Source organism: Homo sapiens, chromosome 1 (genome assembly GCF_000001405.40).
Source record: "Homo sapiens chromosome 1, GRCh38.p14 Primary Assembly".
NCBI classification, from domain to species: domain Eukaryota; kingdom Metazoa; phylum Chordata; class Mammalia; order Primates; family Hominidae; genus Homo; species Homo sapiens.
Window position 1 is genome coordinate 64,834,850 of NC_000001.11, and position 20,307 is coordinate 64,855,156.

The 20,307-nt window shown below is 48.6% G+C and overlaps 1 protein-coding gene across 12 annotated transcripts in view, besides 3 other annotated features; it reads right to left on the reverse strand.

Annotated features, from left to right (window-relative positions):
- The window catches only part of JAK1 (Janus kinase 1), a 234,518-nt gene that overhangs the window by 1,621 nt on the left and 212,590 nt on the right, over positions 1 to 20,307 (reverse strand). For all 12 annotated transcript variants that reach the window (XM_047419676.1, NM_001321852.2, NM_001321854.2 and 9 more), the window contains 13 exons: positions 15,955 to 16,061; positions 12,683 to 12,826; positions 11,800 to 11,887; positions 10,664 to 10,791; positions 9,905 to 10,040; positions 9,215 to 9,366; positions 6,602 to 6,752; positions 6,396 to 6,490; positions 4,754 to 4,946; positions 3,616 to 3,740; positions 3,083 to 3,255; positions 1,249 to 1,366; positions 547 to 657 (listed from right to left, as the gene is read on the reverse strand). In XM_047419676.1, the coding sequence (XP_047275632.1) occupies positions 547 to 657; positions 1,249 to 1,366; positions 3,083 to 3,255; positions 3,616 to 3,740; positions 4,754 to 4,946; positions 6,396 to 6,490; positions 6,602 to 6,752; positions 9,215 to 9,366; positions 9,905 to 10,040; positions 10,664 to 10,791; positions 11,800 to 11,887; positions 12,683 to 12,826; positions 15,955 to 16,061 (1,721 nt within the window). The remainder of the gene's footprint in view (positions 1 to 546; positions 658 to 1,248; positions 1,367 to 3,082; positions 3,256 to 3,615; positions 3,741 to 4,753; positions 4,947 to 6,395; positions 6,491 to 6,601; positions 6,753 to 9,214; positions 9,367 to 9,904; positions 10,041 to 10,663; positions 10,792 to 11,799; positions 11,888 to 12,682; positions 12,827 to 15,954; positions 16,062 to 20,307) is intronic.
- Positions 11,435 to 11,936: an enhancer, noted in NCBI's record as "H3K4me1 hESC enhancer chr1:65311967-65312468 (GRCh37/hg19 assembly coordinates)". NCBI's record gives its function as "activates a minimal SCP1, AML or CMV promoter by ChIP-STARR-seq in primed H9 embryonic stem cells {active_cell/tissue: H9 hESC(primed)}" and the evidence as "EXISTENCE:reporter gene assay evidence [ECO:0000049][PMID:30033119]".
- Positions 11,435 to 12,953: a biological region, named in NCBI's record as "BRD4-independent group 4 enhancer GRCh37_chr1:65312286-65313485".
- Positions 11,754 to 12,953: an enhancer, noted in NCBI's record as "BRD4-independent group 4 enhancer chr1:65312286-65313485 (GRCh37/hg19 assembly coordinates)". NCBI's record gives its function as "activates an origin of replication core promoter dependent on BRD2, P300/CBP, MED14 and CDK7 cofactors, and independent of BRD4, by STARR-seq in HCT116 cells {active_cell/tissue: HCT116}" and the evidence as "EXISTENCE:reporter gene assay evidence [ECO:0000049][PMID:35650434]".

A 20,307-nucleotide genomic window follows, 5' to 3' on the forward strand; every position in this document is an offset into this window, starting at 1 on the left:
AACATTTGAGAAGCTCAAGGGTTGACTGGCTGCAATAAAATCCAGGTCATTCCTGTAAACCAGTTAGAGGGTGAAGCAGAATCTCAGTTCAGACTTGAACTTTCCAGACTGGCTGCCTCACTCTCTGACTCATACTGTTCAGTGTGTCTTACACAGTCTCAAGAGTTTAGTATTAAAGGCTCAATTCACTTAGAAAACTGAATTATAAATGCTAATAAGTGGGATAAACTTACACACAAAAAATGCAATTATATGTATTTGTCACACTAAGGCTACACCAAAACCTGTCCCTCTGGGGCAAGCAAGTGGATAAAGAGGGGCTGGCTTTTGGAGGGAATCCTTGCTCTGAACCTAACTGGTGGCTATCATCTAGCCCCAAAGGCGATTTCTCAGTTATCTTATGTGAAATTCAGCTTCAGAAAACTATTTTACAAGGACTTCACTGCATCATTTCCTCGCTCTCCCCTCTACCCATTGCTGGACAACTCAAGCTGCGAAAACATAATAGAAATGGAGTGTTATTACTGTGACGTGGCCCATAGATACCTCATCTGGACAGTTAGGTGGGCACGGCAGGCGTTTTCCTTCTTTTAACGTATTCACAAGTCTTGTGACTGTCATCTGGCCATGGGTTGGGCCTATCATTTTCAGGAACAACTATATAAAATAAAATCAAACAAAACGTTTAACTTTGCAAGTATTTACATAAATGCCAAACAGATTAAGGTGAAATTTCTACAATCAACTGGAAATTTAAGTAGCAATAAAAAGGCTTTTCTCCTTAGTAACTTTAAATAAAAATCCAAAATCCTTATTAGCTTTCAATGATCTGTCTCTAACCAGTGTCTTAGACTCTACCAACCACTCCTTGTGCTTGTGCTGGTCAAGGAGTCTGTTCCCAAGAAAATGATCTGATTTAGGAATGAAGGAGGCACAGACAAGGCTGGTCCCTACCCAGTGCTACCCCACTTAACTTGCTCATTTTCCCATAAAACTGCCCTTCATCTCTACACAGATAAGATCCTTGAGAGTCAAGGTCATCCTATAGAACTCCGGGCTCGTTGTGAAAGCAAGACTTTAGAGATTCACAAATAACTGTCAAGTAGCAAACCAAGTTAATGGGAAAGTGACATTTTCCATTATAATACATTCATTGGATTCCATTTAAAAACAAAAGTTAACCAAGCAGAGGGATGGACACATTTTAAATGGGTACTGGATTCAAATGAAGAGAAAAGTAGGACTTACAGCCATGGGACTAGAATCTGAATCACAGTAAGTCAGCAGCTCATGCAGAGTGACTCCAAAAGACCAGACGTCAGAGGCAATATAAAATTTAGATTGCATTAAACATTCTGGAGCATACCTTGAAAGGAAGCAGAACACAAAACTTCATTTCCTGGGAGGCACACTCCATCCGACATTACAGGATAACTGAAAAATCACCTCTTCGGTTTTTCTTATAATTTAATACAGCATCTGACTGTGTATTATATATTTTACACATACCATGTATACGCTGCTATGGTGCACATCTGACCTATAGTACGGTATCCTTTACAGGCTCTCGGTAGCACGTATCTGCCCTAAAATAACACGCCAAGTCTGTGCTCTTCATTTCACTGAGAACATGCTCTCAGGGTATGGGAGGAGGTGGCCGTGTAATGATGAGCCCCAGGTCTGATTTGCCTGCAGGCTCTAAATGAGACAGCAGTGGCCTCACTGCACAATGTGGCATCGCTGTCCAATCCTCTTCCAGCATTGCCTACTTTGCTGAATGACACCCACTTGCCCAAGCCAAAAATGAAGGCATTCCACCGCACCCAATCTCCTTATATACTCCTTGAACCTACTCACTTCTCTCAAACCCTACTGTCACTCTCCCAGTCCCTGTCCTAATTCATGCTGTCACTAGCTCTGGCCTGAGCTGTTGAAGCAGCCAAATCAGACTCCCTGGCTCCAGACTCCCTGGCTCCAGACTCCCTGGCTCCAATCTTGTTCCCTTCATTCAGTGGTGGTCTTTTTAAAACAAAGTCTCCCTCCTTAAACTCTCCAGCAGCATCCCATTGTTCTTGAGATGAAGTCCCAGCTCCATGACTCAAGCTTCCTCCTGCAAACCTCCTATTCCATGATCTGACCTCACTGAGGTTCAGTTCCTGGGAAATCGACTGCTCTTGTCTCATTCTTCCTAGTCACGCATGCTGTCTAGCAACCGTCTGTCTAAACCCGCATGAATCTTTCAGGTTTCTTCTGAATACTCACGACTTCCAGAAAACCAAGCCCGAACCCTTCTGTATGTTTCCTGCTCCATGCCGTTGGCTGCCTAGCCTGTTAAACTCTAAACTCGGCCTACTTGTTCACCATATCTCCAGTACTGGCACAAAGCAGGACCTTGATGCATTTTCTTAAATGAATGAATGAGTAAGTTTAGGCTCCATAAGTGGGAGAGGTCTATGTTTGTGTCCATGTAGGATGCACCTAGGGGAGTGCTGATTGGTTATGTCGTTATGTGGTTACGTGGCAGGGTGCGGTAGAGATGTAAGCAGCCTCTCCCCTGGACAGTGTTCCCGGCTGAGACATGGTTGTAGCCAGTGTGTGGCCTTCTAACCTGGGAACCTCTGGTGATTCATGAGACAGCCAGGTCTCCCGTAGGTTTTGCTCTGCTCTGTCCAGGAGTTCCCTGAATCTGCAATGCCCACTCTGTCCTACAGCCTCCCTCTGCAGGAATGTGTTTAAGAAAGGAACTAGATTCTCTCCACCTGCTCACAGTTTTAAGAACTGCATCAGATGAATGCCCTCTCCTGGAAAGCTAGGAATGTTGAGCTGGTGGTTAGATTTCTTTCATTCCTTGGAAGACGGTGTCATATGAAGCTCAGTCATTTATATAGGCTGCTTTCAATGAAACAGGCTGAAAGGTGTGTTTCTTGAAGATAAATATCAATCAATTCCAAATGTTCTAAACCTTCTCTAACCTTGAGTCAGGCCAGAGGAATGAGACACATTAATATAGCCAGAAAGGGCCTATTAAAACAGTGTAAACTCTATGAAGCATTGATAAAACCTAGTGGTTTGATTCAGTTACCAAAACACAGGGCTGTCCCGGTCATCCTTGACGGTGTAATACTCCTTATCGGTTTCAATTGCTTTGGTTAAACCGAAGTCTCCAATTTTCACTTGGTGTTCACTCTCAACAAGGACATTTCTTGCTGCCAAGTCCCGGTGAACGTATTGCCGAGAACCCAAATAGTCCATCCCCTGAGAGAGAGAAGTAAAAGTCAAGCACATTGCTAAAGTCACTTTAGATTGTATTATCTATCACTTCATCAGAAAAAATAGAAATGTCATTTCATTCACATATCACTGACAATTTTTTTGGTTCTGACTTTTATGCAAGAATATTAAGAACAAACTGATTCAAATAAATACACATTAAAATAACCATATTTAAATCCGTTTACTTTCTTAGTAGAAGCTAACTTTTCATCTAAATAATGCAGAGAAAAACAAACAGTATAATTATCATAAACTTACCCACTTAGAGTCAAATTACAAACCAATTACCCAGGACAGAGTGCCTGATGTCTTAATCTGTAACATGATGTCTTTATTTTTTACCTTACAAATCTGAACGGCATATTTTAGCTGCTGTTTGAGGTTTATTTTGTTCTTATTCTTTGGAAGATATTCCTTAAGGCTTCCCGAAGGCAGAAATTCCATGATGAGCTTAATACCATTTCCTCCTGTTTAGAAAAAACATCCATCAGTCTGAGGCTGCCAAATGAGGGAACCATGGGAGAGGCAAGGGCACAGGATATGAGACAGAGGCCCTGAGGTGACGCCAGCTTCGCCCCTTCATTACAGGCATGTTACTTGACCTCTTATGCCTCAAGATCCTCAGCAGTGAATGGAGATGGTAACAATGGTGTACCTACCTCACAGGCATAAGCACTCACTGAGATAACAGTCAGAGTGCTCTGTAAACCACAGGCAAATGACTGTTTTCAAAAATTATCGGGCTGGGCGCGGTGGCTCACGCTTGTAATCCCAGCACTTTGGGAGGCCGAGGCGGGCGGATCACGAGGTCAGGAGATCGAGACCATCCTGGCTAACACGGTGAAACCCCGTCTCTACTAAAAATACAAAAAAATTAGCCGGGCGTGATGGCGGGCGCCTGTAGTCCCAGCTACTCGGGAGGCTGAGGCAGGAGAATGGCGTGAACCCGGGAGGCGGAGCTTGCAGTGAGCCGAGATTGCGCCACTGCAGTCCAGCCTGGGCCACAGAGCGAGACTCCGTCTCAAAAAAAAAAAAAAAAAAAAAAAAATTATCATCAGCTGTCAATTTCACTACCATGAGTAGATGCTGGCTTGCAAATAAGATACAATTATTAGTAAATATTACTTGCCACTTTGATTTAGACAACTAGAAAATGAAATACCCTGGCTAGTATTGGATCAGAACAGGAAGTGGGTGGAGGTAGAGTAGGAATCAGTTTCATAAGGCATAAGTGCAAGTGACGTGGAGAGACAGTGCTGGAACCAGCCCCTGGATGGAGGGGCCTGGGTGGCCTCCTCAGGAGCCCTGCAGCTGCTGAGGGATTTGACATATGACTTGGAAGCCTTGAGAGTGTGTGGGAACCACCAGCTAGCATGTCAGACGCCCAGGTAAGGCCACGGAGTGCCTGTTTTGCACTGGCCTTTATGACCCTAGACAGTCACCAAATCTTTAAACCGGACCCCAGCCTTGCATAACATACCGTCTTCTGTGCAGATTCCTTTGTACTTCACAATGTTCTCATGATAGAGGTTCCTTAAGATCTCGATTTCCTTTTTCAGATCAGCTATGTGGTTACCTCCACTCTCAGGCTTCAGAGATTTAACAGCCACCTGCTCCCCTGTATTGTCCCCTTCGGGGTCATACCTGCAGAGCTCAACCTTCCCAAAGTGGCCCTGGAGGGAAAGATGCATGTGCTGTTATCAGGGAAGCCCCATCGTAGGCCACGGAACACACAGAAGTCTTGCTCCTCACAGCCGTTCCCCTGAGGGCCAGGGGTTCTCGCTGTCTGGCCTTGCAGGCAGAAGCCTCTCACCTGGACTGTACTTGCTCACTACAGCCCCCTCGCTCTCTTGGCCTCACAAACTGTCCCCTCAGTTACTGAGCCAAGACAAAGTAGCAGGTGACGATGAACCAACTCATCAATCCCAATTTCTATGACCACAGGAAATGAAGGTTATTTCTGGGCCTGCAGGACAACTGCCGTTCTCTAAAAGCCCTGGGCTCACGTTACAGGACAGGCCCCACAGCATGGCTGAAAAGAGCAAATGCATGAGGAGTCTTTAGAAGACGTGAGATCAGGTTCCAGCCAAGCCACCTGACAGCGACAGTGGTGGCCAAGTCCCCAAATCGGAGCTGGCTCCTGATGCACTCGCTGCATACAGAAACTGGCCTCGGGGACGGTGGGGGGAACTAAGGATGCCATGCTTCTGACAATGCCTGGCACAGTGGCTGGCACACAGCAGATCCTGGAGATGTATCAAGTCTGTTTCATTAACCAGACTACAGAAAATCTGTATAAAGACACAAATCTCAGTAGCTTCTCTAGTCACAATTAACTGTTTGGAAACTCCCATTTAAGGTCCAAAGAAACGCTGACACTCTATTTTGGGATTCTGTGCAATAAACCTATCCCTGCTCTAAAGAGCCTTACAGGGCTGGGTATGGTGGCTTATGCCTATAATCCCAGCACTTTGGGAGGCCTCCTTGCTTGAGGCCAGGAGTCTGAGAGCAGCCTAGTCAACATAGCAAGACCCCATTTCTACAATAAAAAATAAAAAATATTAGCCAGCATGGGGGCGTGTGCCTGTAGTTCCAGCTACTCAGGAGGCTGAGGCAGGAAGATTGCTTGAGCCTGGGAAGTTGAGGCTGCAGTGAGCTATGATCACACCACTCACTCCAGCCTGGGACACAGAGCGAGACCCTGTCTCTCGGGGGCAAAAGAAAAAGAGAGAAGCTTACAGGATATATATGCCCGGGAAAGTCAGAGGCAAGGATTTTCCTATTCCACCATATCTATACCTACTCCCCCATCTCTCCCTCTTTCCATTCTCTTCTGTCCTGTAGAGAAAACTCAAGTCTCTCAAGGGAGCTGCCCAGAGTCCCGTGTGCATACACAGTCGTGCATGCAGGCAGGGACGTGCATTCCGTCCGTGCCGTGTGTCACATGGAGAAAGACACAATCCCTTGTGATGAAAGTGGCCCCCAAATGCAGTAAGGTGCTTTCGCTCATGGACCTGGCCCCAGAATGAAAAAGAATGGAGAGCAGCTGTACGTGCAGAGAGTGGCGCTGTGGATGGCGGAGGGCTCTGCCATCAGCAGCAAGCAGCACGGGTGTAACTTACCTCTCCCAAGTCACGGATCCTCTTTAGGAAGCGCTTTTCAAAATGTGTGGGGTCCACTTCAGTTGCTGGTTTTTTTTCTGAAACAATATCTGGATCTAACAGAAGAGAAAAGAAAACAGAGTGAAAGGCAGTCGATTGCCAGGGATTGCCACCCAGGCTCCTGTTTCTCCCCAAGCTGGGTTAAAGCAGCACATGGCAGGTCTTACTCTGCTCTTCAAGCTTATTAATGTCTCTCATGATGGCTCGGAAGAAAGGCCTCTGATTGGGGTCATAGTTCATGCAGCGGGTCATGAGGTCAGCCAGCTCCTTACATGATGGTGTCACTGGCCTGCACCGGCTTTCATAGAATCTCTCTTTCTGTAAACAAGAGGGGCACATGGAAGAAACCAAAGGAACCACCTACAAACTTCTCAGCCCCAGGTCAGGTGGAATTGCCAATTCCTCATTCGATTCTCAACATCTCCACTTACAGGTAGATTTCGTAAGTGTTTGTTACTGCTGCCTTATTCTTGCAAGGGGAAATCACAGTCCTAATACTGAATAGTCCAAATTCAAGGAGACTGGGCACTATAGCCCAGTCCCAAAAAGCTTCATTCAAGTAAAGGCATGCAGCCTTTCTGGAATACAATTGGGCAACATGTACAAAAATCTTCAGATTCTTCAAACCCTCTGATGCATTAACTTCAATGACTGAATGACTCAGAAATAAATCAGATATGAACAAATATTTATGTACAAGGATGTTTCCTGCAGAATTAGACAGAACACTGGAAATTTGAAAACTTAAATGCCAAATATAAAATTAGTCAAGTAAATTAAACAAAACAATTAACTCTTACATTAAATTTGTAAAAATTATGATTTAATCTCACAGGAAAGCATTCTCAGTATTAAATGAAAAAACTCAGAATTTTATATAACTCTATCTAGCATGGCCCCAATTTTGTTTAAAAAAGAGAGATACAAACAGGCTGGAAGACAAAATGCCAAAGTGTTAACAGTGGTCAGGGATGACAAGAATGCAGTGATTGCTGTTTTCTTTTTTTAATAGTTTCATTTTAAAAATTTTCTTCAACTGTTTATTACTTTAAATTTTAGAAACAAGAACTTATGCTACTTTTGGAAGATGAAGTGAAACCACTGCATTCCAGTTTCTACTTCATAGCTGGACTCCAAGGGTACTAAGTTCCTCTCTGGTCCCCGTGGGCCCTGGGGTGGGGTGGGGTGGGCAGGCCCCAGAGGACAGGGAGGAGGGAGGACTGGAATTAAGGAGCTGAGAATTGCTCTTGTCCTTGAGTGTCACTCACACATCCCTGCGTCAGTGCAGCCTGCAGAAAAGCCATCTAACCCAAGGGGACTTAGGTGGAGAGAGACCCCTATTTTATTAAAGACACGGGTCCTTCCTTACACCACCCTGTATGCTGTTCAGCCCAGGGTACGCAGCACGTGCTCAATAAATACTGACTGATGACAAAGGGTATGTTGTTTCATTTCCAAGGATCCAAGGAAGTTAAAAATAAATATGAATTTCCCAAAAGCCTAGGCTGAAAATTCCAAATAGCAGATCTGTAGATCTGATGGTTTCCCTGCGGGTTTAAGATCCTTTCCCAAGTCCTGCACCATCATTAACTGGCAAGTCATAAAGGTTCTACCTCTTCAATATCTCCCACCCTGCACTCTGGACTTCCGCTGCCATTTCCGGACATGGGGCTCCCATTGCTGAGAGACTCGGGGCCCCTGTCTCCCTCCAGGTCTCTCCTCTGTCCATCCCAGCTACTGCATCCAGAAGAACATCCCAAGGCCGACCTCCAAGCCCCTCCCTCCTCCACCCAAATCCTTCCTTGTCCCATGCCACCCCCAGTAAAATGTAGGTTCTGCAGCCTGGAATCAGGGACTTTAAAAATCTGAACCCAAATGGCCTTTCCCACCTGATCACTGTTATTCCTTTCCCCACTCCAGACACTCAAGGCCAGGCACACCAAACTACCCAGGCTCCCGACACAGCACTGAAACCAGGCTCTCACAGCCGAAACTGATGCCTGCCCCCTCTAAACAACAGGAGCACATTCCAATTGCAGTCACTGAGATGAAGGGACAATGGTCTTTCATTGTGATTTTTACTACTTTACCCCTTTGGAGTTAGAGTCTCCACTTTTTCCACAGGTAGATTTGGAGGAGGTCCACACCTCGCCTGTTTTGCATTCTAGCTGAGGAACCCAGGTAAGTGGGGCTACCTGAGTCTCAGTTACCTGATCTGTCAAATGAGGGTAATGACACCATCCTACCTAATTTGCAGGGCTCTTAGGGTGACACTTTCAGGTATTCTTTCTGGAATTCTTACCGTTGTTATTTTAGCCTAACTCCCTACCATACCCTAAGGCCCTCAAGGGAAGGCAAGGCCTGTATCTTATTTTATAGTGAACCTCCAGCTTTTCCCAAGCTTGATGCCTGATACACAATAGGAACTCCATACGTATTTGTGTGGTAATTTTGCTGAATAACAGGCACTTAAAATCTCAGATAAATAATACTATAACATCTATCGAGCTTGTACTGCATGCCTGTCACTCTATATGCATTATTTAATCTTCACAACAACCCTACAAGTAGTTACTGATTATCCCCATTTTATAGATGATGAAACTGAGGCTCACGGAAGTTCAGTTACATTTGTGAGGTCACACACCCAGTAGGCCCGTGAAGAGATTCAAACCCATGCCCATCTCTTCCCACAGTGCCAGGCTTCCGACAACTCCTGGGAAGCCCACGAGCACCTGAAAGCCCTCACTTGCCTCACGCCCCGGGAAACACCTGCTCACCTCAATCAGCGTCTTGTCTTTCAAGGGGATCTCGCCATTGTAGCAGATTTCCCAGAGCGTGGTTCCAAAGCTCCACTTGTCAGCAGCCACACTCAGGTTCTTGGAGTCCTCAACACACTCAGGAGCAATCCATGGGATTCGTTCAATGCATTCTGGAAGACAACAGACACACTGATGGAGCAGTTTCTGGGATCTCCTAGGGATTCAATTACTGTCACTGCAGCCAGAACAGTGAGCCAATGAAGGAACTACTTCAAGCAGTGTGCCCAAACATGGCCCATGGCCACATAGGCCCTGTGCGGGGGGCCTGCAGGCGTGCAGCCCTCCAAGCCACCACCAGCACTTCTGATACATCAGTCTGGGTCACAGCCAGCAGATGGGTCCCTGCCTCCAAGCTCCCCAGGAGGGTCGTGTGAAGCCAGGCTTCTGAAGCCCTGGCCTTAGGATCAGCAAAACATCCCAGGGTGGGGGCCATCACCCAGGGCAGGAGGACGAACGGGGGCTCGTTCAAGGACTTAAGAGAAGGCAGGAGATCAAGACCATCCTGGCCAACATGGTGAAACCCCGTCTCTACTAAAATACAAAAAAAAAATGACTCTCTAAAAGGAGACCAACCCCAGCCCAGCCCTTCTCTCTGCTGACTTGCCCCTGACTCGGGGTGGGGCCAGAGGGAAGAGAGGGGAGACACACCTTGCCTAGACAGCACCGTAATGGGGATGCCGGGGTCACTGAGCTTGATGAATGGGCCACACTCACTGTCGATGCCCTCACGGGCCAGGAGGAGGTTTTTAGTACACACATTTCCATGGACCAGGTCTTTATCCTCCTGCAGAGTAAAAAGGTCAAGTTTAGCCAAGCTGCTCCTTCCCGCATTCTATTTCCAACCCTGGTCCCTCAGGTCATCTCTTCCTACCCCCAGCTACAGCCAGATCTGGACAGCCTGGCCCTGCTGCCAATCATCTGTGTGACTTAGGCACATCACAGGTGCCCCTTGGCTCCAGCTCCCTCATCACTGAATGTGGCTAAATAGTGGCACGTATCTCATTGGGCTTCGTGAGCATGATACTGATTAGAATCTGTGAAACGCCTGAACAGCTGACCCATGGTGAGCACTCCACACGTCAGCTACTAGATGCTGGCAGTTCACTCATTCACTCAACACGTACTGCACTGCTTTCAGCCTTGCCATCCATATGCTGCAGTATGCAAGTCGGCCCTCTGACGTGCTAACATTTCCCACTAAACAGAACTCATGTGAGCACAGGGAACGGCCCCAAACGACCATCTTCAGTAAGCACCAGGCACACCTTTGTTCAACCACAGAGCCCTGGCCCCATGGAACCCAAGGACAGGCCCCTCTAGCTGCTTGGCTAGCACCTCCTTCCTGCCACCCCTCCCAGGACACTCTGGTTTCTGGTGGGACCATTATGGACATCAGGACATTCTCACCAAGTAGCTCAGGGCACTGGCCAGCTGTTTGGCAACTTTGAATTTCCATGGTGTGGTAAGGACATCGCTTTTCCGGTGCATGAAGAGATCCAGAGGACCCCCTTCCACAAACTCTTCCACCATGATATCTGTAGGCATAAAAATAGCCATGTCTGGAACCTGGTCTGTGGCACGGTCCTCTCCTTCATCCCCTTACGACAGTCCACTTCAGTGGACACTACTCGGCCTCAGAGTACACAGATATCCTTGGGGGGTGCAATGGTGCAGGGGCTTCAGAGCTGGAAAGGCCAAGTTCAACCCCAAGCTCTTCTTCTAAACGGTGGCACTGAGCAAGTGACACTTCTCTGAGCCTCAATTCCCTCATCTGTAATAACAGATGGCGGCTAAATGTCACAAGGCCTGGAAAGCCTTGGCGGAGGGCCTGACACAGAGAACAAGGGCTCTGGGAACAACCGCCACCACTGCTGCTGTTCTACAACACACTGTGATGCAGAGGTCAGGCCGCTCACACGGCAAAACTTCCCTCTCAACAGGACTCCTGTGTGAGTACACGGAACAGCTCACATTGTTGGATTCCACAGGGAAGAAGTCACTTGGGGTTAAAAAAAAAATCGCTCTTCTTCCAAACTTACATGTCAGGAACTCAGAGGCCAAGGCCACCCCTCCATCTCAGTGTGCAGCAGCAGCCCAAGGGCCCACCGGCTCAGTGGCTTGACAACCAAGAAAGGGCCAAGCCTGCCTGTGGTTAAAATGGAAGCCAGTCCATTCGAGGAGCCAGCGTCTTGCTGCTTGTGGGGTGCGCTCACCTCGCTCACCTGCCCAGAGCTCCTTGGGCCTGACTCTTGTGGCCTTGACCTCATTTCACTCACCTCAGCCTCCCAGGTCTAGCACAGTGTAGGGTTCTTGGCCAGCGTTGACAAGAAAACATTACACAAATGAATGAAAAGCAATTGGTTTTAGTTCCACCTCCACTATTAACTTAAGCAAATGACCTGCTCAGTCCCTCAATCTCCTCAACTGCAAAAAGAAAGGCAAGAAGCCTGGGCAACGTGAGGGTGGGAAGAGCCTCCACCATCTCCACAGCACCCAAGCTCCCCAGCCAGGCCACCCACCCCTTTGAAAGAGAACACACTTACTCTCCACGTCGCGGACACAGACGCCATAGAGGTACACGATGTGTTTGTGGGAGACCTGTCTCATCATGCTGGCTGCCTCGAAGAAGGCCTGTGGGCGAGCAGGACATAGGAATGTCTCAGGCCAGCCTCCAGGGGGCTGCTCCCCAGGGGCTCTGTTGAGGGGAAAGCCAGTGGACCCAGGAAAGCTCACCACTGTCGCCACCCCAGGCCCTGAACATCAATCCTCTGGCCTTGGCTGTCCAGAGGCACTGCCAAGCCTTGTTCTCTGGGCCAACCTGGCAGGGATGTGAGGTTTATTTAGAAAACCTAACAGGATGCAGAGCAGGGCTGGTGGGAGAAGCTGGCTAAGAATTTTCCCACTGGATACTCATGCCCACCTCTCTCTCTTCCTTTCAGCTCTGGGAAATACCCATATTTAGCACTATGCTGGAACAAAGGGGAAATGAAGGCAGCCGATCTCTGCTCAAGATTTGACTGTGTCACTCTAATAGTCTGTAGAATCCTGGGTGAGTCCTTTTACTCCTCTGGGCTTTCGTTTTCCAGACTGTGTGGTGAGAGCCATGGACTGTATCAGGAACTTTGAACCATTTGGCCAGAGTCCTAGGGCTCCACAGCACAGCCACCTGGACCTGTCCTTAGGAAAGGTGGGGGTTGGGGGTGGAAGGGAGGGCACAGGCTGAGTGTGAGGAGCTGTTCAACCCACCTCACTTACTCTACATGCAGGGTCCACTAAGATCATATGTGGAGAAAAAAATTCTGAGTAAAAGGCAAGTTTGAAAACCACTGGGCCACAAGAAGGGCAAGGGTTCTTCTCAACCCATTGTGTTCCACTGGCTCCAGAAACGGGAGAGGGGAGGGGAGGAGTTCAGAGGAAGACACTTGCCAGGGAAATATCCCTGTGGCTGGGGTCTAAGACTTTGAGGATCACTTTTATCTTCTTCTCTTCAGAAGTTCCTTCGTCATCCTTGTAATCCATCAGGGTCCCAGAATAGATGTGTGTTCTCGTGCCTCTCCCAAGGTGCTCGCCCTGAGGGAAGAAGCAGAAGGCTGGGTGACCTCTCTGTGCCCTGAAGTGATGGACCGTCTGGGAATGGGTCCTCAATGGGAACATGGACTATCAATGGGATGGGGCAAAGGCAAGAGGGCTCCCTGCCCCAGCTCGTGGTCCCCAGGCCTCCAGAGAAAACAACAAGCTATTTGGCCAAACACAGTGGTGACATTTGCTGGGCCCCAGGAGACAGTCCTCCTACTCCCTAAACGGCTCCTTGCTTTCTACCCCTAGGAACAGCCTTTGGCCAAAACACAGTCCTAACATGTCAGGACACTGCAAACAGGGCCATCAACAGCCAGCCACATGGGTCCCACCCCAGGCCTCCAGAGAAGACTCAAGAGAGGAGCCCCCAGGCAGCTCCTCTACTCACAGGCTGTGCTACCCTGTGAAGAGGCTTGCAAATCCCAGCTCTACTACCCGCTGGCCATGTGACATGGGGGCAATCTCTGCCCACTTTCTGCAAATGGAGGTAATAATGGTACTGACCTCATAGGGCTGTGGTAAGAATCAAACCAGGAAACAGGGATGGAGGCTCCTGGTACAGACTCAGGCACACGGGGGGATGCGTAGAAACCCATCTGGTGGATCCATGTGTTATCTGAAGCCCTCTGGCACAGGTAGGCACAGTTTCTCACACTGGAACCATCTGTTTCCCATCCATTTATCCAGTGTGTGTGCTCATGTGTGTGCATGCACGCTAGGATTTAAAATTAGTGGTGCAAAGTACACCTGCATTTGCCCTGGCAACCTCACAGAGGAGATGGCAATGTGAAGATGAAGGTGGAGCCTGGGGTGATGTGTCCTGGATTTCCTGACATGTGAAAGGGAACAATACCCCCAGATGAGTGGCAGGAGGACTGAATGAGATGATCCGTGCAAAGCCCTAGCCATACCATGATCTATTTCTGAGGACCCTTCCAGTTCAAGTTGCAATAATTCTGCTTTTAAAATTCTTAATATTTGGAAATCGAAATGGGATTCACGAAACTTAGGCAATGTCAAGTTGTTGACATTAGCACCACAAAACTTGTAAACTGAAGATCCATTATTCTATTATTTGAGGACCCCCTGGAAATGCAGAAAAGGGACTGTCACTGATACCTAGGGAATCAGTCTTATCCCCCATAGGAACATACACCATTGTTAATCAGGTATATTAATTTGCACAAATGCCACCATTTGTTATCTGTCAGAGCCGAATGGCGATGCATCCACCCTGTCTGCTGTATCCTGGCAAGGTCTTTGGCTATTCATTAAAGCTGCATCTGTCATGAAGTGATCCATCAAGGTTATGGGAAGCTGTATTCCCAGAACATCCCGTAAAAGCCATATGCTTTCAGAATAATTGCTCTTCCCGTGGCCAAGTCATGACACCATGCTGTCAGGATTCTGCAGGGACCCACAAAGGCCCATATGGCCCACTTCATCCTCCTCTGATGCTGTTCCCTCCACCTTGCCTAGCTACTTGAGTTCATCCTCCAGGAGGAGACCCTGATTTTTTTTTTTCCCCAGACAGGGTCTCGCTCTAACACCTGGCGGGAGTGCAGCAGCACAATCATAGCTCACTGCAACCTCAAACTCCTGGCCTTATGCAATCCTTCCAACTCAGCCTCCTGAGTAGCTGGGACTACAGCTGCTTACCACTACACGCAGCTCATTTTTTCATTTGTATTTTTAGTAGAGATGGGATCTCATTGTGTTGCCCAGGCTGGTCTTGAACTCCTAGGCTCAAGCGATCCTCCCGCCTTGGCCTCTCAAAGCGCTGGGACGACAGGTGTGAGCCACTGTGTGAGCCGCTGTGCCTGGTCTGGGACTCTGCTTTGATACCGCTTCCCCCAGGAAGCTATCTCCGTCCTCTCAAGATTAGGTCCACATCCTGCTGTACTTCCCTACTTTGGAACTTGACTCTTGCTAACGTGATTACCCCCTCAAAATAGACAGGAGCCTGCTGAAGCAGCAATCGTGCCTCGCACGTGTAATGCTTGATCTCTGTTGGCTAAGTGGATGTGGAAGGCATGGAGGATGGTGGTTACCTGCTTGGAGGCTCGAGGCAAGGGAAAAGAGGCAGGCCCCACAGACTATGTCAAGTTCTACACAGAAAAGAGGCTATGAAACTGTGGCTCTGGTGACTGTAATCTCAGGACACAGCTCTCACACCACGAGAGGAATAGAGAACAATGATGGGCCTTTGGTGAAGAAATGTACCACGAGGGAAGTGAGGCAGTTTAGCTGTGGATTTCCACTCCCTCAAGCCCCATCCAACAATCTCGGGGACTCACTGAAAAAGGTAAAGTAACAAACCCCCGAGTGCCACTCTCCCCAGGCTCCTTCACAGCAGGCAGCTTCCGCCTCACCCTCCAACACCTCCAAGGCGCTGCCATCTCCCGAGGTGGTGAGTGGCCCCGTGCTTGCTTCTCTCCAAGGCTGCCGCACCATCTCCCTGATACCCCAACGCGTGGCCCTATGCAACAGGGCTGGGGAGCGGTGGCAGAACAGAAAGTGGGCTTTCCCTGGGCCTCACACCACCAGCAACAGCTCCAGGGCAGCCCCTGGGGAGATCCTGGGCTCCCCGCTCAGCCTGTAGATTCTGGGCAAAAAGGCCTCCAAAGACTGGGATCTGTTTCTCAAGATAGTTCTCCTTCAGGCCCAGAGTGTGCATGTCCTCTTGTTCCCTCCCTGTGTTCTCTCCTCCTGAGCTCTGCTCCTTCTGGAAGCATCATCAGAAAGTGCAGGACTGAACTCTGGAGGTGCTCCATCACACAGCCTGCTGCAGGCAGCGAGGTGTGATGGCCATGCTCCCCTGTGGAGAGCCACCTCCTGCCCTGCCACCCCTTCAGCTCACCACAGAAGGTCCCTGCTGTTCTAGGTAACCCCACAAAGCCTGACCAAACCACTTACCTCAAAACATGTCTCTGAGGAGCATCAGCAAGGGTGAAGAGGATGGAGGCAATGGTTGTACGGCTTTTGCCATCAAAGGAAAGTCTCCCTGTTCTTTTTCTACTAAGATTTCCCCAAACACAGCCTTCCTTCCCCCAGATCCCCAAGCTGCTCCATCGTGGGGAGGCAGGACCACAGCTGGCCCACACCCTGCAGCCGTGACTCACCTGCACCAGATCCTTCTTGAGGATCCGATCGAAACTCAGCTGGCTCATGGGGTAGACGGGCTGCCACTCCTGGGCTTTCTTAGTAGCCACCAGCAGGTTGGAGATTTCTGTGGAAGAGATTGGGGGAGTCTGAGCACAGCACCCAAGATCCGAGCTCTCAGACAGCCAACGTCTGCTGAGCCGGGGCCGTGGGACCGGTGTGCGGGCGCTTGCTGCTTCAGTCATTCGACAAGTGCTTATTCAATAGGCATATGGCTCCTACCCTCCAGGAGCTCAGAGGGTAACGACAGAGCCAAAACTCCCAAATAAACAATTAAATGGAAAGCTACAATTTGTTCAGCTCCTCTAAAGAACAGGTGTGTGGTGCTCCAAGGTTGGCATGGCAAGATCTGTTCTGGTAAGAAAGGTCAGAAACAGTTTCCCTAATGAAATTAAAATTTAAAATGTAAGACTGGAAACTGAAAGAAGTCAGAGACTGTCTATCTTATTTTCTTCTCCACCTCCACAGCCCGGTACATAGTAGGCACTCAATTATTATTTGTTAAATGAGTGAATGAATGACTGGCGTCTTTCTAAAGGATGAGAGCTATGGAAGGAAGAAGCAGTACCCGGGCCCAGGGCATGATGGGAACCAGAGGAGGAGGTGAACAAACGCTGGTTTTGAGCCAGAAGATCAGGGCAGGAGACCCATAACAGTGCCCTGTCTGAAGCTCGTGGTACCAGCAGTGCCTGACATGGAGAGGCGCTTACCAAATGCCCCCTCAATATGCAGGTTTAAGTAGACTATCCCCCAGATTCTACTGATTCAAACAGCAAACCCAACACATTACAAAATCCTCGAGGCCAGGAAATCTACAATCCATAGAAATCACCTTTCCCGCTATGGAGCTACTGCAAGGAACGAGGTTATCATAAGGCAAGAAAGGACCTTCCAGATTCTGACTAGCAGGGAAAGTATTCTGGGAATCTCTGAAGACTTGTATGTTTTCATCAATTTTATTAACTGAAGCAGGAATATTAGCAAAATGACAACGAACATGCATTTCCCTTCACTTCCTCTTTCCTGCACTAGAAGACAATAACAAGTTAGGGGAGAAAATGTAGCCATTCCAGTCCTGATTCCTGGACTGTAACAGAAGGAAGTTCCTAAAAGAACATCTGTAGAACAGCCAGGCACAACCCATGGAGGCCACCACACACACCGCTGGGAGACAATGGCTGCTGAGCGCCGGGTCCCTGCACAGGGCCACGTCTCTAATCCCTGCTATCCCTCAGGACAGGGCATTCTTTTCCTTTCTAATTTTTTAAGCTCACATATTCCGACTGTTTTCTCCATGCCAGCCGGTGTTCTATGAGCATTATACACATTAACTCCTTTGTCCTTATGACAATCCTGTGGAATACACAGTATTCTTATCCCCATTTTATAGATGAGAAAACAGAGATTCTGAGAGATTAAGTAATTGGCCCAAGGCCAGGCAGTTCGTAATCTTAGGATTCACACTGAAGTCAGAGATGCTCTCGTCTCTACCCTTCCCACAACATACCTGGCCCTAATCGGGAGAACAAATGTGGGTGCCAGAAACAGGGCTCAGGGAGAGGCTCCCCTTGTTCTCACAACCTGGGCACTCTTTTTCCAGAGGCTGCTCCCTCCATACCATTTTCCTGACTCCACTCTGTTACCTGGGGAAAATCCGATTCAGAGGCAACTCAGGCTCAACTCAACTCAGGAGAAAAGGCATCAAGAAGGGGCCCCGTGGCTGGTGTCCACAGGCAAGAGGCCAGGCAGCAGAGCCACTTGGGAAATGAGAGGCGGATGGAACCGAAGCCATTTATGGACTATTCTTTGCATGGGCACTTCAGGGAACATGGCACCAGGGTTAACAATGTGAATGGGGGAAGCCACAGTGCCTCCATGAAGGTGTTTCCTCACTAGAAAAATGGGGGCCACAGTTGTGTCCTTCATAGGTTACCGTGTGGAAGAATGGGATGACGCAAGGGAACGGCTGCCTTCAGTGCCCGGTATGGAGTAAAACGCTCCCTGACTGGTTGCCGCCGTGATTATGACTGGCATTACATCTTAGTCACTGTCATCATTCTTCCTGTATCATCAGGGTTCTGGAGTGGGAGATGGGTAGTGGAGCTGGACACAGGACACAGGACTAGAGATGTGGGACCTGCTGAGCCGTCACGCCCACTCTGAATGGCCTCCTGCTTTTTCACTTTGCTTTTTATTTATCCCATGAAGAGTTTCTTAGTTGCATTTTCAAGTGAGAAACCCAGATCAGGGTCTGGCTATCAAAACCCCGTGGTTAGGAGAGCAGAGGAGCTGAAGAACCCAACACAATATTCTCATGTCTAATTTTCACGATTTCCCCACTTCTCTAATTTGCACATGGCAAAGGGAAGAGAGAGAGCTTTGGGGGACCTATGTAAGGAGGCCTCACACACAGGCCTTATTCTTACTCTCCCAAGGTCAGGAGAATTGGTGCCTGCTCTAAAGTCCTAGGCTGATGGCTGCACCTTTCCAAAGACAGTGTGACCTGGGCAGGGTGGGGGCAGTGGTACAGAAGGAATCACTGGACTTGGAGTCAGACAACGTGAGTTCAAATCCCCACTCATCCTCTACCTAAGTGATCTTGGGCATGTATAATTGGGATAACAACATATTCTGGGTTATTTTGAGGACTAAATGACTTAAAACATGAAAGATCTCCAAACAACGCCTGGCAAACTGTAAGCCCTGCTCACATGATAGCAGCCGTTCTTATTAATTATTACTACTGTTCTACCTACTACCGATACTACTAGCTACATGGCCTTGAGCAAGTCACTTACCATCTCAAGTCTCAATTTCATCACCTTTGTAATATCTACAAAAAGCTACTGTGTAGATGAAATAAATGAGGTAGGTACATAAACTGCCTGGGCCACAGTAGGCACCCACCATCCAGCAGCTCCTGCTACCTGTTCACTTGACAGGCATTATTCACGCTGACTCCGTGCTGGGCACTGTCCTCCCCACGAGCCCATAGAGTGGTGAGTGAGACTCAGGTCCTGTCTTAAGAGTTCACAGTCAGGTGGGAAAGGCAACAGGAAACACATTCAGCACTGAGTTTCAGGAGCCTCAACTGGGGTTCGTTCCAGTGTGTTGCTGTGAATAAATAGGGCTGTTGGGCTTTAAGGTTTGAACTTACTCTGAGGTCTCACAGCCAAGTGGCAGATGTGTTTTTACCTTTGCGGAAAATCCTCAAGCATGAAAACAAAGGCTGCAGTTATTCTCTGAGCCTGGCAGGAACCCCTATCTGATCAAGAACACAAGTCCCTCCTCTTTCACCAAGTTCAGTGACAAGCCCCTTGCTGAGACCAAAAACTGATTCAAACATCAAGAACCCAGGTCCCTTTCTATCCTGGTGCTGCTTCCTCTGCCCACTCCTGGTGGTGTGAGGGTTTATGGACACGTTCGCTTGGAAGAACAAGATGTGTCCCAGATAAAGACTCCTCAGAGGGTCTTCCTCTGACACTCATGGGGCCTCAGTGGCAATCGTGCTGCTCCTTCTTTGAGGCCTTCCTCCTTCTAAGGGAAGAACCTGACGCATGAAGGGCAGCATCTTGAGGTGAGGAGCAGCAAAATAAACCGTTCTCAAGAGCTAGGGCACTCAGGTTAGGCCTGGCACTCAAGCCCCTCTTTGACGCTGACCTTTGATGAGACCCACTTCGCTCTTCTGGGCCTCAATTTTCTCATCTATAAAATGAGACAGTTGACTGTGTGACCTCTACGTGTCTTTCCAGTCCTCACATTCTAAGAGACAAATCCACCTGCAGAACATCAGTGACGCCATTCAAGAGGCTTAACAAGAAACAGCTGAGTGGCTCCCCCTTGGATCCATTTCACTCCCTGATCCTCCCTGGCCCCTACAGCCTGCAGGATAAAGACCCAGCTCCATGGCATAGCACTCAAGGCCCCCACACCCTAAGCTCAGCCTCACCTGCCCCTCCCTTCCACCTTCACCTTCCTTCCACCTTCACCTTCATGGCAGCCCCCGCCCATGCCTCTGTTTGCACGTGCCGAGATGCCCTGACCGCACTGGCAACCTCCCACTCATCCTCCCACACTCAGTTCAAGAGCTGCCTCCTCCAGGCAGCCCCCTGTGCCACGGAACTCAGGGATTTTGACCATCCCTTTCTGTTTGACTCCAGGGTATGATATCTATGTTAGTTAAAACACCCATCACAAACTGCAGTGGCCTCATTTACCTGTAACATCAGCATTAGGCTGGGAAACCCCCAGAGAGCAGGGACTGGACCTTATGCATTTCTGATTCTTTGCATCTGATATAGTTCTTGGCCCAC